We start from the raw sequence: 15214 nt of genomic DNA on the forward strand, positions 1-15214 counted from the left end.
CTAGTGGTGATACCCTAACACAGCTACAATTGCAAATCTCAACAGGTTGTACTCCCATCCCTAGACGTTTTAAGGAAAGGAGCTACTTAAATCTCATAACTAATCTGTGATTATAAACTGACTCTTTCAAATCACAGATTATTAACTGTGTTCTTTCAAATATCTCTTCCAAACCCCCTCATGGTAGAGAAAATCAATATCCAGTCCCAAGATCTTGAGGTGTAATTGAAGCAGCCATGTTTGGGCATGAAACGTATTTGAAATCTCCTGCTTTGCCTTTAAATTCATGCATTCTTGCTAATGTTCTATTCTTGATGTAGTAGCAAGGGCATGTTCACTTTGTAAAAGTTCATCCATAACAGGCATTTGTACACCAATGTTCACAGCAGCATTATTCCCAGTCACCAAAAGGTGGAAACAACTCACATGTCCACCAGTGGAGGAGGAGATAAACAAATGTGGTCTATCCATACAGTGGGATATTATTCAGGCTCAACAAGGAAGGAAATTCTGACACAGGTTACAACGTGAAAAAACCTGGAAGCCATGCTAAGTAAAATGAGCCAGACACGAAAAGACAAATATAATATATTCCACTTATATGAAGTACCTAGTTCAGTCATAGTCACAGAGACAGAAAGTAGAATGGGGGCTGCCAGGGATTGGTCGGAGGGGGAGAGTGGAGTTAGTGTTCAATGGGTACAGAGTTTCTGTTTTGGAAGATGCAAAAGTACCAGAGATGGCTGATGGTGATGGTAGCACAGCAGTGTCAACACACTTAACGCCACTGCACTGTACACTTGAAAATAGTTAAGATGGTGAGTTTTATGTTACGTATATTTTACCACAATAAACACAAAAGCAACCCAAAAAGCCTATGTGGGTATATACTTAGGATCATGTGATTTTACCTAGATATGCTATTCTTGGGGTGGGTGAAATCATCTTTAGAAATATGCTTTTCCGGCCAGGCACAGTGGCTCACGCCTGTAATCCCAGCACTTTGGGAGGCCCAGGCGGGTGGATCACGAGGTCAGGAGATCGAGACCATCCTGGCTAACACGGTGAAACCCTGTATCTACTAAAAATAGAAAACATTAGCTGGGTATGGTGGCGGGCGCCTGTGGTCCCAGCTACTCAGGAGGCTGAGGCAGGAGAATGGCGTGAACTTGGGAGGCGGAGCTTGCAGTGAGCCGAGATCGCGCCACTGCACTCCCAGCCTGGGCAACAGAGCAAGACTCTGTCTCAAAAAAAAAAAAAAAAAAGAAAGAAATATGCTTTTCCGTGGGCATAGTGGTGCATGCCTGTAATCCCAGCTACTCGGGAGGCTGAGGCAGGAGAATCTCTTGAACCTGGAAGGTGGAGGTTGCCGTGAGCTGAGATTGCACCACTGCACTCCAGCCTGGGTGACAGAGTAAGACTCTGTCTCAAAAAAAAAAAAAAAAAAAAAAAAAGAAATGTGCTTTACTCAATTTTATATTTGTAATTGTTTTAGAAAGATATTTAGAAAAGTATCTTTCTCACTACATCTTCGAGTCATGCAGGCACTCTGAAGAGCTATACTGTGTTTACCTTGGTACCCCAGTGGTATATCAGGACAAGCCTGGGGGCAAAAGAAGTTCATGGATCCAAGTTCCAGAAAGATATTATAAAGAAACTGCAAATTAAGTTGTTCACAAGTCATCACCATAAGTTATCTTGTCGTAAGTGTATGTTTTATAGGCAAGTGGCATCATTTTTGCAGAAGATACCCTCAGCACTTTGTTGGCAACACATCAAGGAGGATATGTCTGTTGCCACAGGACATCCAGAGGGCCAGCTGTGTCTGCTTGTCTGACGTGGATCGTAGGAATGAAAAAACTAAAAAGAAAACATCACTCTTTGCTTAGAAGACTATAATTAAATATAATACTTAAGGTATCCCAAGTGAAGGGATCAAAAGCCCTGGACAAGAAGAACCTACTAACTGTGTTCCTAACCACAACCTCAGCATCTGCTGAGTTAGTTCTTGTTCTCATCTGCCACACACACTACTTGCCTGGTAATAGTATTTCTGCCACAGAAAGTGCAAAAGATTTGTTAAAACTCTGGACAGAAGTCTGAACTACACAGTCCCCAGCATCCTTTATCATCATCAACCAAGTGGCTATTCTTTCTTTGTTTTTGAGACAGGGTCTCACTCTGTCACCCAGGCTGGAATGCACTATAGCCTTGACCTCCTGGGCTCAAGCAATCTTCCTGCCTCAGCCTCCTGAGTAGCTGGGACTATACCATGCCTGGCTAATTTTTTTTTTTTGGTAGAGACTGGGTCTCCCTATGTTGCCAGCTATTCTGAAAAGGCGCCTAGAGACGTCCCTGACGCTGGTCACGGTAGAAGGGCTGCCAATACGCTTGGCCAAGAGGTGCTCCCTGCTGAGCAAGCACTGCATTGGACAGCAGTGGGTGCATGTGTGGAATTACTCAGGTGAGAGATTTCTGATGTCTTGCTTCAACTTACACAGGACTGAAGACTTAAGAGACTCAGCTGTGTGTTGCTCTGGTTGCATCTCTGTGAATGTCTGGTTGGCCCTTCCTTTTCTAGCCTGCAACTGCTATTCCCGCCTTGTCTGTGGGCCTAGAGCAGAGTGGCCTCGGGCCACTTCATCTGAGGCCTCATGGACCACCCAGGGTGTGACTGCCATGCAGACCGACCACAAAAGCCTTTCTCCAGGGGGAAATGGACGATGACAGTAACAAGCTGCTCTTTTAAAGCCAGGCAGCCCCTGGGAATGGGAAATCATATCTCCTGCTGTGGTTTGAATAGGTGTCCCTCCAAAAAATTCATGTTGAAATTTAATCCCCAATGTGGCAGTTTTGAGAGGTGGGGCCTTTAAGAAGTGGTTGAATCATGAGTGCTCTGCCCTCATAAACTGATGAATCCATTCACCAATTAATAGATGAATCGGTTATCATGGGAAGGGAATTGGTGGCTTTACAAGAGGAAAAGAGACTTGAGCTAGCATGTTATCATGCTCAGCCCCCTCACGATGGTCCTGCATCACCTTGGGATACTGCCAAGTCCCCACCAGCAAGAAGGCCCTCACCAGGTACAGCTCCTGGACTTTGGACTTCTCAGTCTCCATAACTGTAAGAACTAAATTCCTTTTGTTTAATAAACTACCGAGTTTCAGGTATTCTGTTATAAGCAACAGAAAATGGACTAAAACACCTCCTAAGGCTCCCCAAACTTTAAAATGAAGGAAGCAGTCATGCTTGTGCAACTGCAGCTGCTGGTGTGGAATCACCTAGAAATTCTTCCTCCATGGAGACAGCCTATTAGCTAAGGAAAAAGAATCTATGGCCGTCAGAAGGCAGGGTGATTTAAGGTTAATGTCTTGCCACTTCGGAGTTCCTCCCGTTGGATGGAATCGGGTTGACCAGTTTCTCTGCCTCTAACTGGCTATTTTATGGAAGGTCTGTTCATTCCCTGTTTCAAAGCAACAAGCGTAACAGCAGAACATCTAGGAGTCCTGTGCCAAGAGATTCCTTTTTCCCACATGATCTGCCAAGAAAGGAGAATTCCAACTTATGAGTCTCATTAACAAGGTGGAGAAATTTCTTCTTCGCTCCATTTCAAAAGCAAATAAACTTAAGTAATGAAAATGCTAAAAGCAGAAGGCTCTGGTGTTGTATTAGTCTGTTCTCATGCTGCTAATAAAGACATACCCGAGACTGGGTACTTTGTAAAGGGAGGAGGTTTAATGGACTCACAATGCCACATGGCTGGGGAGGCCTCACAATCATGGCAGAAGACAAAGGAAGAGCAAAGGAACATCTTACATGGTGGCAGGCAAGAGAGCATGTACAGGGGACTCCCATTTATAAAACCATATCTCACGAGATTTACTTCTCAGGGGAAAGATCTACCCCCATGATTCAATTACCTTTCATCGGGTCTTTCCTACAACACATGGGAATTATGACAGCTACAATTCACAATGAGATTTGGGTGGGGACACAGCCAAGCCATATCAGGTGTTGCATATCTTCATTGGTCAAATGCAGAATAAAGTCATGCATAAACTAAGGGCTTCAATGGGAAGCCTATATACCCCTACTTCTCTGTCATAGGATTTGAGGGCTTCAGCATGAAGGTACCAGCTGTCAGAGTACTCAGGTGATGCTCAGAGAGGGGAGATTGTCCTCTACTAGATTTCTTTCTGGGGCCTTTGTTTCTTCCAGGAATCCCAGCAACAGTCATTTCACTCATCCTATTTTTACACCTTGGAGTCAAATAATGAGGAAGTACACTGCTCTCTAGTTCAGAGAGGGCAGCTCTGAGCCCTTACAGTTTTGCAATGAGCTAGGAAACAAACCCTGGCTTCCTGATTTTGCAGTTCATTTATCTCAAGCACCAAATGTCCAATTACTAATATTTACACAGGGATTTCTGACAGCAGGTGTATAGGAAGTGATAAGCCCAGGATGAAGCCTGAGCCAAGAAGAACTCTTCAGAGAGCAGCTGAGAGTCCACGAGTAACATGGAGAACCAGAACCACCGAAGCCCAGCCATGAGGAGGCTGGGTTAGACCCTGGCTCCCTGGGTCACCAGCTGTGCCCTCTGGACAGCTTATCTGTTTATCCATTTCCTCAGCTGAGAAATGAATTTGAAAATACTCACCTAACTCTTTAGTGGGACCTTGTAAGAATCAAATGACATAGTGGACAGAAAAGTAGTTTGAAAGGAAGAACATAACAATAGGAATGTAACAAGTTACACAAATCAACAGAACTCAGATCAACTATAAAAAAAGACATTTTGAGGAAAATTGGGAAATGCTTAAATATAGACTGCTATTTGGCATTAGATGATACCAAATATTTTTTTTTTAGTTTTCTTAGGTCTAAATATGGCATCATAGTTATGTAAAATCTTTAGAAATCACACTGAAATATGTAGCAATGAAATGACATGATGTATAGGATTTGCTTTAAACTACTTCAATGACAGAAACAAAGGGACAGATGACGTACATGTGGCAAAATAACTGTTGAAATTCAGTGAGAAGCTTATGAGGCATCATTATACCCTTCTCTCTACTTTTTTTGCATACTTGAAATTTTTTGAGAATAAAAAATAAACAATGTAGTGTTTTCTGGGACTCAACACCTTCGCTGATGGTCATGTCTATCTAGAGCACAGAAAATCTGTTTCCTTCACAAAGCCCTTCCACACTGGCCATCTAGAGGTCAAAGGACAAGGACTTGGGAAGAGGCCAGGAGAGGCCAGTTGGAAAGAAAATAAAAGGAAGCATCTTTGCAGAATCTCCTATCTGTGATACTTAAAATGTCAGCCAATGTGTGGTGTTAAGTACGTTTTGTTTTCAGACCTGAGTTTCATACTCAACTTTGCCACTCAATGCCTAAGTGACCTTAGACTAAGTCACTTTCTAACACAAAGTTACAGGGAAGCAAATGCACATGCATGCACAAACACACATATACATATACACACGTGCACACATGCGTGCACACACATACACACAAGTGCACAAACGCGCACACACACATACACATGCAAACATGCACACAAACACAAATACACATATACACATACAGGTGTGCACACATGCACACAGGAATACATATGCACACACATTGCGTGCACACACACGTGCCCGCGCACACACACCTGTGTGCGCATATAAACACACACCGGTGCACACACATACACAAACACACTCGTGTGGAGACACACACATGCACACATACATGTGCCCACACATACACGTGCACACATGCATACACAAACGTGCGCGCGTGCACACACAGATTAGTGAGACTCAATTTCCTTGGGGAGAGCCTTGGTAGCCACTGGGGCCCATGGGGAGCACGCATCTTGTCATGGCTCTGGTGGCCATTCCAGGGCAGATACTAGGGACCAGGAAGAGGAACGGGACAAAGGTGAGGAGAAAGATTAAAAATTTAGTCAAGTTAGGATCCAGTGAGTCAGTCACTTATCTGGGAACTGACCAGGGAAATGAACTCTTCCTCTTCCACCCTAAACCCCAACCCTGACCATTAAGTACATGATACACCATCAATAACTAATTCATTCCACCAAAGATGACAAATGTTGTTTTGGGGTTCCAGGACGGACAGGCTAGCAGTGGTGTAGGGGAGGGGCCTGGAGTAAGAGGTATGGGTTTCAGTCCCCACATTGACTAACTCAGTGACCGTGAGCCTCAGCGTTTTTCTTCCTCTGGGAGAAAAAAAAAAAAAGTATTGTTTTTGAGATCTCTGCAGTTTCAAGATCTTAGGGACGAAACTAATTTGGAGCATGTTTCTGTCATGCACATCTCTCCCCTCATCAGGACTTGGGGTTTCCTAACCATATTGAGTAGTTCAGCCCCCTCCCTCGCCGTGTTCTGCGGTGTTCTCTTCCTCACACCCTCGCCCCGCTCCGCCCCGCACTCCGGCTGTTTTTTGATGGTCTTAGCTCGGGCACGGAGAGGAGGGAACCTCGCTTGTTCTCCCAATCATCTCTATTCCAGCGCTGATTCCTGGGACACCTCGAGCAGGCAGCCACACCCAGAGGGCTTCCAAATTTGGGCTGGTGAGAAGGGGCGCGGTGGGCAAAGCGCCTGCGTAAAAGTTGTAGGCACTTCAGACCACCGGACCAACGGCTCAAGATTGGGATCAGCTGTAGCCGTGGGTTCGCTCGTGCCCGTTCTTTCCAACTCCAGGGCTTCTAGGTGATGAAGGCGGGAGAGGGTCCCTGGTCCCCGGAGAGGCAGGGCGACTTGGGAGTGCATACCTGGCGTGCCGAGAGCGCCTCTGCTCCCGCAGGACTCACGGCGCTCCCGCGCTCCCAACAGCCTTTCGAGCAGGCTGGGGGTTGAACCGGGTTCAAGCAGTGGACGCTACAGCTCCCGGGCGCAGCCCCCGGGGTCCCCGCCCCCACTCCGTCCCAGCCCAGCACGCTCTACATCCCCAAAACCACAGCCCCGAGGGCAGTCACTGTCTCCCGACCCGTCCCCCGCGTGCCCCACTCCTCAAAGCCAGAATTCCGGAGACGCTGTCCCTGGAGCCACGCTGCACTCTCCAAGACGCCCAGCACACACCGAGACTTGACGGGCTCTGTCCCGCCTGATTACGGGCGCTCGGGACGATCCAGGGACCCAGCGCCTCGCTCCCCGGGCGCGCCAGCAGCCGCGCCGCGCCCGGCCCGTACGAGGTGGGGTTGGGCGGGGCCGCCCGGGGCGGCAGGAGGACCCGTTAGCCTGCACGTCCTCGCATCGCTCCCCGCAAGAAGTCTTTGGGAACCCCCAGGCACTGTCGAGAGGCAGCCCCGCGCAGGACGAAGCCTGGAGACCCCATAGGGACGCTCCCGCTTTCTCGCGAACCGCTTCGGGGAGGGGGTGGCGCGGGAAGCGCTCTTACTTGGTTTCAGGGATCCGCAGTGGCCGGGCTGGGACCGCGCTCTCCACGGTGGTCCCCCTCCGCTTCCGCCGCCGCTGAGCCCCTTTCTCGAGCAGAGGGGGCGGCTCTGGTCTCCGATGGCTGGAGAAAGCAAGCACCAAGCGTAGGTAGCCGCGCGCTGGAGTCGCGCGTTTACTCTTTTCCCCCTTACTTTTAACTAGAGGAGGATGGCAAACCCCTCCCCGGACCCACCCCCTTCCCCGAAGGCGGCCGCCGCAGCAGGCCCGGCCTCCGGCCTCTTTTGTTGTAATTCGAGAGCGGCCACTCCCAGGGCCAGAGGGAGCTCCGCGGGGGAGGCCAAGGCCTGCGGGGCAGCCCTTCCCAGGCTCCTCGCGCCCGGGTTTCCGGAGCCTGAGATGCCGGGAAGGGGGCCTTTCCTCGGGAGATTCCTCTACCCTTTCCTCCCTGCAGCCGTCCCAGAATTTAACCCTTCGATGTCCTTATCCACCAGCCTTAGGGCCCGTGCCTTGTCCACCTCCTATCCCGAAAACCCTGGCCCTCCTTGGCACATAATACACGCTCAATTAAAGCTGCCGAATGAAAGTGTTCAGAAACTTGCACCCATCTCGCCTGGGTTTCACCTCCCTTTTCCTGTAGGGGGAAAACCGATCCTGAACCAGTAAATAAACAGCCCCCTTTCGGCCAGCAGATCACGTCTATGGCCTTGGCCAAGCCTCTTCTCCGAGGACTAGTTTTCTTCTTTGTAAATTCAACGCTTTGGATTCCGTGACCTCTGGGGTCCTTCCTGGAATGGTAGGGCTGGGATTAACAAGCCCTGTGCTTGGGGACTGAACAGGACACAGCTAATGCGTGGCCATTGTGCAGAAGGACCTCCTGTGCCTGGCTCTGAGGCTCCGGGTGGGGGATGGGCATGCTGGGAGAGCCCTCTGCACAGAGAGGGCTCCTTAAGCAAGAGCAGGGCTTTGCCAGTCCCAAGGAGGCAGCGAGCTGCAAAACAAGGGACCCCTGTGCAGAAGTAGACTGTCACCTGAAAGGCGGCTCCTTCCTCAGTCCTCTCTTACTCCACTCCCTGAGGAGACAAACCCCTCCCAAATCTCACCTCCAGCCCAGGCTTCTCTCCTAAGCCATGGATATTTAAATCCATTGGCCCCGAAAGACTTTCACCTGGACATTCCCATGGCCGTAGCTAACCTGGCAAGCCCCAAACTTGGCACTGCAACTCACGGTCCACCTTGACTCCTGTGAGCTCTCCCAGGCAGATATGGGGTCTTCTCCGTTGCCTCCTCCTTACCCTCCCCACTGATCAGTCCCTGACTCTGGTGGGCAGTAGAGGGCAAGGGTCAGAGGAAGGGGGTGTAGTTATCAAAGGCAGGAGGAGGGATCTTTGTGGTGGTGGAACTATTCAGTGTCTTGAGATACAGAAAACCACACAGGTGATAAAATTGTATAGAACGTAATACACCCAATAAAATTTCAATTAAAAATTTAAAAAAATCCTCCGTGGCTCCAAGGTCCTCAAAATGTAATCTGAATCCTGGCTGGGTGCGGTGGCTCATGCCTGTAATCCCAGCACTTTGGGAGGCCGAGGCAGGCGGATCACAAGGTCAGGAGATCGAGACCATCCTGGCTAACATGGTGAAACCCCGTCTCTACTAAAAATACAAAAAATTAGCCGGGCGTGGTGGCGGGCGCCTGTAGTCCCAGCTACTCGGGAAGCTGAGGCAGGAGAATGGGGTGAACCCGGGAGGCGGAGCTTGCAGTGAGCCGAGATCCCGCCACTGCACTCCAGCCTCGGGGACAGAGCGAGACTCCGTCTCAGAAAAAGAAAAATGTAATCTGAATCCCTTGATTAAGCTGACAGGGCCTCTGGGGCATTTCCAGCCTGCCCAACTGCCAACCACATCTCACCTCTCCCCCTGGGCCTTACTTTCTGTGCTCCTATAAGCCTTCTATTTCACACCCCAGGACCTTTGAACGTGACATTCCCTTGGCTTCTCTGCACAGTAATGCCTGGTTATTGAGCTTTCACTCAGCTGTCACACCCTACACAGTGCCTGGACGTACCAGATGCTCAATAAATGCTGGTGAAACTGAGCTCTCCCCTTTCCCCATCTCCCATCCTTCCACTTCTAGTCCTACCCTCTCTTGCTAAAGCATTCACTAATAAGGTAGAAAATGAAAGGAGACCAACTTTGTAAATAATCTTTTGTCTGTTATAAAGAAAAGCAAACTTCTTGTGAAATATTCAGAAAATATGTAAAATGTAAGGAAGAAATTGTCACTCTGGTGTCTTATCACCCATAAACACCTACTGTTTGGAGTCTTTCCTTCAGAATATTTGTTCAACCAAATTGTAGTTACAGTTTTTGTATCCTGATTTTTTTTTTTTTTTTTTTTTGAGACAGACTCTAGCTCTGACTCCCAAGCTGGAGTTCAGTGGCGCAGTCTCGGCTCACTGCAACCTCCCCCTCCCAGGTTCAGCTTCCCAAGTCTGTCTCAGCCTCCCGAGTAGCTGGGATTACAGGCATGTGCCATCACGTGTGGCTAATTTTTGTATTTTTAGTAGAGACAGGGTTTCACCATGCTGGCCGGGCTGTCCTTGAACTCCTGGTTTCAAGTGATCCACCCACCTCTGCCTCCCAAAGTGCTGGGATTACAGACGTGAGCCACTTCACCTGGCCTCTGATTTTTTTTACTATATCATTTTGTGTTAATTTTTCAATGTAATTTTTAATGGTTTTAGACAGTTCTGGTCTGAAATTATTGTGCAATGGAGTCATTTCTCCATTATTGGATATTCAGTTGTTTACAGCTTTTTGCTAGTGTAAATTACGCCATGACAATTACCCCTGTGAAAGTAATATTTATTGATTGGGTACAGTGTGGTTCCTGCTAATTGTTACAGATGAGAAAGCCCTGGCTCAGAGAAGTGATTTTCCCAGCGTCACAGAGGCAGGGAATGGCCGAGCTGGGAGAACCAAAAGGAGCTTGACTCGTCCAGCAAGTATTAGTGGCCCACACTGGAGGCCTCAGTAAGTCCATCTCTGCCTTACCATGTCCTCACTTCCAAGAGGAAATGAGTAGAGTATCTGAAGTTTGCACTGAGTGTTTTATTGATGCCCTTTTGTTGAATTGAAATCAAGACCTAGGAGACTACTTCAGGACAACAGTAGACCCTTGTCCCAGATGAAACAAAATGATGGCGGGATGCCTTATGTCTGTAAGTCTGGATACACCTCCCACCCTGCCACCTCCACCACTCAGGTCCTGCACTGCTGCAGAGGCAGAGTCGTACAGTAGGTTCAGGGCATGCTTGTGCAGTCAGGGGGCCTGGGTTCAAATCTTGGCTCCACCATTAACTGATGTGAACTCCCTTTTCCTTCACATGCTTCATCTGTAAGAAGCGCCTCAAAATGCTCCTAAGAGGTTGAGTGGAGTGGCTTAAGCTTGTAATCTCAGCACTGTGGGAGGCCAAGGTGGGTGGGTTGCTTGAGTCCAGGAGTTTGAGACCAGCCTGGGCAACATGGCAAAACCCTGTCTCTACAAAAAATATAAAAATTAGCCAGGCGTGGTGGTATGGGCTTGTAGTCCTAGCTACTTGGGGCGCTGAGGCAGGAGGATCACTTGAGCCCAGGAAGTCAAGGCTGCATTTGAACTGAGATCATGCCACTGCACTCCAGCCCGGGTGACAAAGCGGTATCTGTTAAAAAAAAAAAAAAAGCTCCAAAGGAGTAAAAGGACTGAATGGGCTCAGACTCAGAACAGTCCCTCGTATGGTACTTGGACAATAAATGTTGCGTTGTGAGGAGGGCATCTTTGAGGAGGGCACAGTGACTCCTTGTCCCTCAGGGCTTCAGACCCCACACAGGGAGAGGGAAGGCAACACCTCCTGTCCACCCCATCCCCAGGGGTCATGTGAATTACTGCATTAGGATCCATTCCCAGAATGTGATTACTGAGTCAAAGGCTAGAGGCGATTCTTTCTTTTTTTTCCCTTGGCTTTTGCACTCTCTTGCCAAATCACTCTCCTACCAGTCTGGACCGACTTAGATTGAAAGAAGCATAGCATGTCCCAGTAGGCATAGCCTGAGGCTCCAGGGAGGCCCAGCCAATGCTGTAGCCGGTCTGTGCCTTCATGGTGCTTATATGCCAGAGTAGGAGACTGACAAGACACAAAGACACAGAAATGAGGAAATGTGGGAGTCGGTTGGTGACAGAGTGCTACAGAGAAGACTAAAGCTGGTGAGCACAGAAGGTGAAGGAGGCTCAGGTGCTAGTCCAGTAGGGGTGGCCAGGGAAGGCCCGTCTGATGAAGTGGGAAAGTAGGAATAATTTTAGTAGGTATTAGTAATGATTACTTAGATGAATAAAAATGCAGAAACGAGTAGTTAAATTTATAGAACTGCAGAAGAGGCTCCATATGGTCTATTTGTTGAATTAAATGGGGAACCAATCAACCAACCAAACAAACATTGATCCAGCCATCTGGGAAGGTGATTTGGAAATATTGTCACGTGCCGCATAATGCCATTTCAGTCAATGATGGTCCAGGTATATGTTGGTGGTCCCGTATCACTTGGTGGTCTCATAATGTTATAATAGAGCTGAAAAATTTCTCTCTCCTATTGACGCCATAGCTGTTGTGACATTGTCATGCAATAAATTATTCATGTGTTTGTAGTGATGCTGGTGTAAACAACATACAAGCTGCCAGTCATATGACAGTCTAGCACATGTCACTACGTATAGTACATAATAATTGATAATGATAATAAATCACTATGGTACTGGCTTATATATTTACTATACTATACTTTTAATTGTTATTTTAGGGTGTACTTTTACTTATTAAAAAAAAAAAAAAGCTGTCCGGGTGCAGTGGCTCATGCCTGTTATCCCATCACTTTGGGAGGCCAAGGCAAGCGGATGACCTGTGGTCAGGAGTTCGAGACCAGCCTGGCCAATACGGTGAAACCCTGTCTCTACTAAAAAATATAAAAATTAGCCCAGGCATGGTGGCGGGCGCCTGTAATCCCAGTTACTTGGGAGGCTGAGGTGGGAGAATCACTTGAACCCGGGAGGTGGAGGTTGTAGTGAGACGAGATTGTGCCACTGCACTCCAGCCTGGGTGACAGAGTGAGACTCCATCTCAAAAAAAAAAAAAACAAAAAAAAACAAGCCTAACTGTAAAACATCCTCAGTCAGGTGCTTCAGGAAGTATCCAGAAGAAGGCATTGTTATCCTAGGAGATGACAGCTCCATGTCTGTTAACGCCCCTGAAGACCTTCCTGGACCAAGATGTGGAGGTGGAGGACTGACATTGATGATCCTGACCCTGTGCGGGCCTAGGCTAATGTGCGTGTTTGTGTCTTCGTCTTTAACAAAAAAGTTTACAACACAGACAAAAGTAAATAATTTTTAAAATAGAAAAAAAGCTTACAGAATACTAAAGAAATTTAAAAATTTGGTACAGCTGTACAAAGTGTTTGTGTTTGAAGCTAAGTGTTATTACAAGAGTCAAAAAATGTTTTAAAAACTAAAAAGTTTATAAAGTAAAAGAGTTACAGTAAGCTCAGGCTAATTTATTATTGAAAAAATAAGTATTATGTATAAATTGAGTGTAGCCTAAGTGTGCAGTGTTTATAAAGCCCACAGCAGTGTACAGTGTACATTCACTCACCACGCACTCCCTGACTCAGCCAAAGCAACTTCCAGTCCTGCAAGCTCCCTTCATGGGAAATGCCTTCCCTAAACCGGTCTATCTTTTTTGTTTGTTCTTTGTTTTTTGTTTTTGAGACGGAGTCTGGCTCTGTTGCCCAGGCTGCAGTGACGCGATCTTCGCTCACTGCAAGCTCCATCTCCCAGGTTCACCCCATTCTCCTGTCTCAGCCTCCGGAGTAGCTGGGACTACAGGCGCCCGCCACCACGTCCGGCTAATTTTTAGTATTTTTAGTAGAGACGAGGTTTCACCGTGTTAGCCAGGATGGTCTCGATCTCCTGACTTCGTGATCCGCCCACCTCGGCCTCCCAAAATGCTGGGATTACAGGCGTGAGCCACCGTGCCTGGCCTTATCATTTTTTTAAATTGTATCTTTTCTATGTTTAGATATGTTTAGATACCCAAATACTTACCACTGTGTTACAAATGCCTGCAGTATTCAGAACAGTCATATGCTATACAAATCTGTAGTGCAGGAGCAACAGTCTATCCCATATACCCTAGGAGTGTAGTAAGCTATATCACCTAGGGTTGCATAAGTACATTCTGTGATGTTTGCACAATGACAAAATCGCCTAATGACGAATTTTTCAGAATGTATTTCCTCGTGTCATTAAGCAATTAACGTTGGTATATGTCAAGGGGTGGGTGTTCGATCTGGCCTTGGGAAGGGGATGGTCACATAGATCACATATTCCAGTGTTCCTGTGTTGGCCAGATATCTATCAGGTCCTATGATGTGGCTTCCGTGTTTCTCATCATTCCAAATCTGAGCATTCTGTCACAACCACTTTTGATGAGTGTGGTTTCATCAGAGGAGAGAATGCGGAGGAGGAGGAGAACTCCCGCCTCCTCCGAGGAAGCAGCGCCCCTTAGTGGTCTGTCTCTCACACGGCAATGTGCGCTTGCTCTCTTCAGGGCCAAGCTATACCAATGGGGTTGAAACCCTAAAATTCTAGAGATTTAAAGGGTTAAGATCTAAAGAGCCGCCAGGTAACTTGAGAAATTGTGCTCCAAGCATCTTGTTTACAGACATGGAACCAGAGGCCCAGAGAGCTGTCAACCCGAGCACCTTCCCTAGGAGGCTTTAGCAGGGGTGCTGAGACCAGACCCAGACCAAGTCAGCTAAGCCCCAGGAGAGTTCCAAATCTGCTCAGAAAGTACAATTGTAAATTGCATATGTATGCAATCAGGAGTGGTTAGGACGCATCTGCCTTTTTCCCAGGAAACACAACGTTTTTACATTGAAAAGTGTAATTTCATTTAATCTATTTTCTAGGATGTAAAATTATTCTGTCAACCACAGTGTGCTAACTTCATCCCTTTCCTTTTCTTTTGCTTACTTTATTATTATTATTGTTATTACATATATTTTTTAAGACAGAGTTTCACTCTTGTTGCCCAGGCTGGAGTGCAGTGATGCAATCTCGGCTCACTGAAACCTCCACCTCCTGGCTTCAAGCCATTCTCCTGCCTCAGCTTCCTGAGTAGCTGGGATTACAGGCGTGCGTCACCACGCTCAGCTAATTTGTGTGTGTGTGTGTGTGTGTGTGTGTGTGTGTGTGTGTGTGTGTGTGTATTTTTAGTAGACATGGGGTTTCACCATGTTGGTCAGGCTGGTCTCTAACTCCTGACCTCAAGTGATTGACCTGCCTCGGCCTCCCAAAGTGCTGGGATTACAAGCATGAGCCACTGCACCTGGCCTTCTTTTGCTTAATTTATTATTAATCATCATCATTAACAGCCTGTTTGAGAGTATGAAACAGTTTACTTGGAGGAGCTCAAAGCTTCTCATAGCTTTCTCTAATGAAGAAGGCTATGCAGGGCAGTCCTGTGTATTCAGCAAAGAAGGAAATTCAGTCTGGGAGGGAGAAGCATTCCATGAGACCAGGTTACATGACTAACTTGCCCTTTCCATCACCCGCTTGAGTTGGGAGTGACTCAATCCCTCCAACAACTTCCTGTGCTTGGAGCCCATTTGGGGTCCAGTTCAGGGTGATGTCACTCAGTGCCTCCCCTGCTTTGAAGTGGGACCAGGATCAGTACAACTCAAGCAGCCTGGGAAGGTCCTAG

General features: G+C 47.4%; 1 protein-coding gene across 1 annotated transcript in view, besides 2 other annotated features; it reads right to left on the bottom strand.

The window, feature by feature from the left end:
- The window catches only part of LOXL2 (lysyl oxidase like 2), a 107224-nt gene extending 99635 nt beyond the window's left edge, over window positions 1-7589 (bottom strand). The window contains exon 1 of the mRNA NM_002318.3: window positions 7423-7589. The gene's annotated coding sequence lies outside the window, so the exon portion shown is untranslated. The remainder of the gene's footprint in view (window positions 1-7422) is intronic.
- Window positions 13805-14099: a silencer, noted in NCBI's record as "tiled region #13358; K562 Repressive DNase matched - State 12:CtcfO". NCBI's record gives its function as "represses a minimal TATA promoter and a strong SV40 promoter by Sharpr-MPRA in K562 cells {active_cell/tissue: K562}" and the evidence as "EXISTENCE:reporter gene assay evidence [ECO:0000049][PMID:27701403]".
- Window positions 13965-14084: an enhancer, noted in NCBI's record as "active region_27117". NCBI's record gives its function as "activates an Ori minimal core promoter by ATAC-STARR-seq in GM12878 lymphoblastoid cells {active_cell/tissue: GM12878}" and the evidence as "EXISTENCE:reporter gene assay evidence [ECO:0000049][PMID:35858748]".

The sequence above is a fragment of the Homo sapiens genome, chromosome 8 (genome assembly GCF_000001405.40).
Source record: "Homo sapiens chromosome 8, GRCh38.p14 Primary Assembly".
Taxonomy (NCBI): domain Eukaryota; kingdom Metazoa; phylum Chordata; class Mammalia; order Primates; family Hominidae; genus Homo; species Homo sapiens.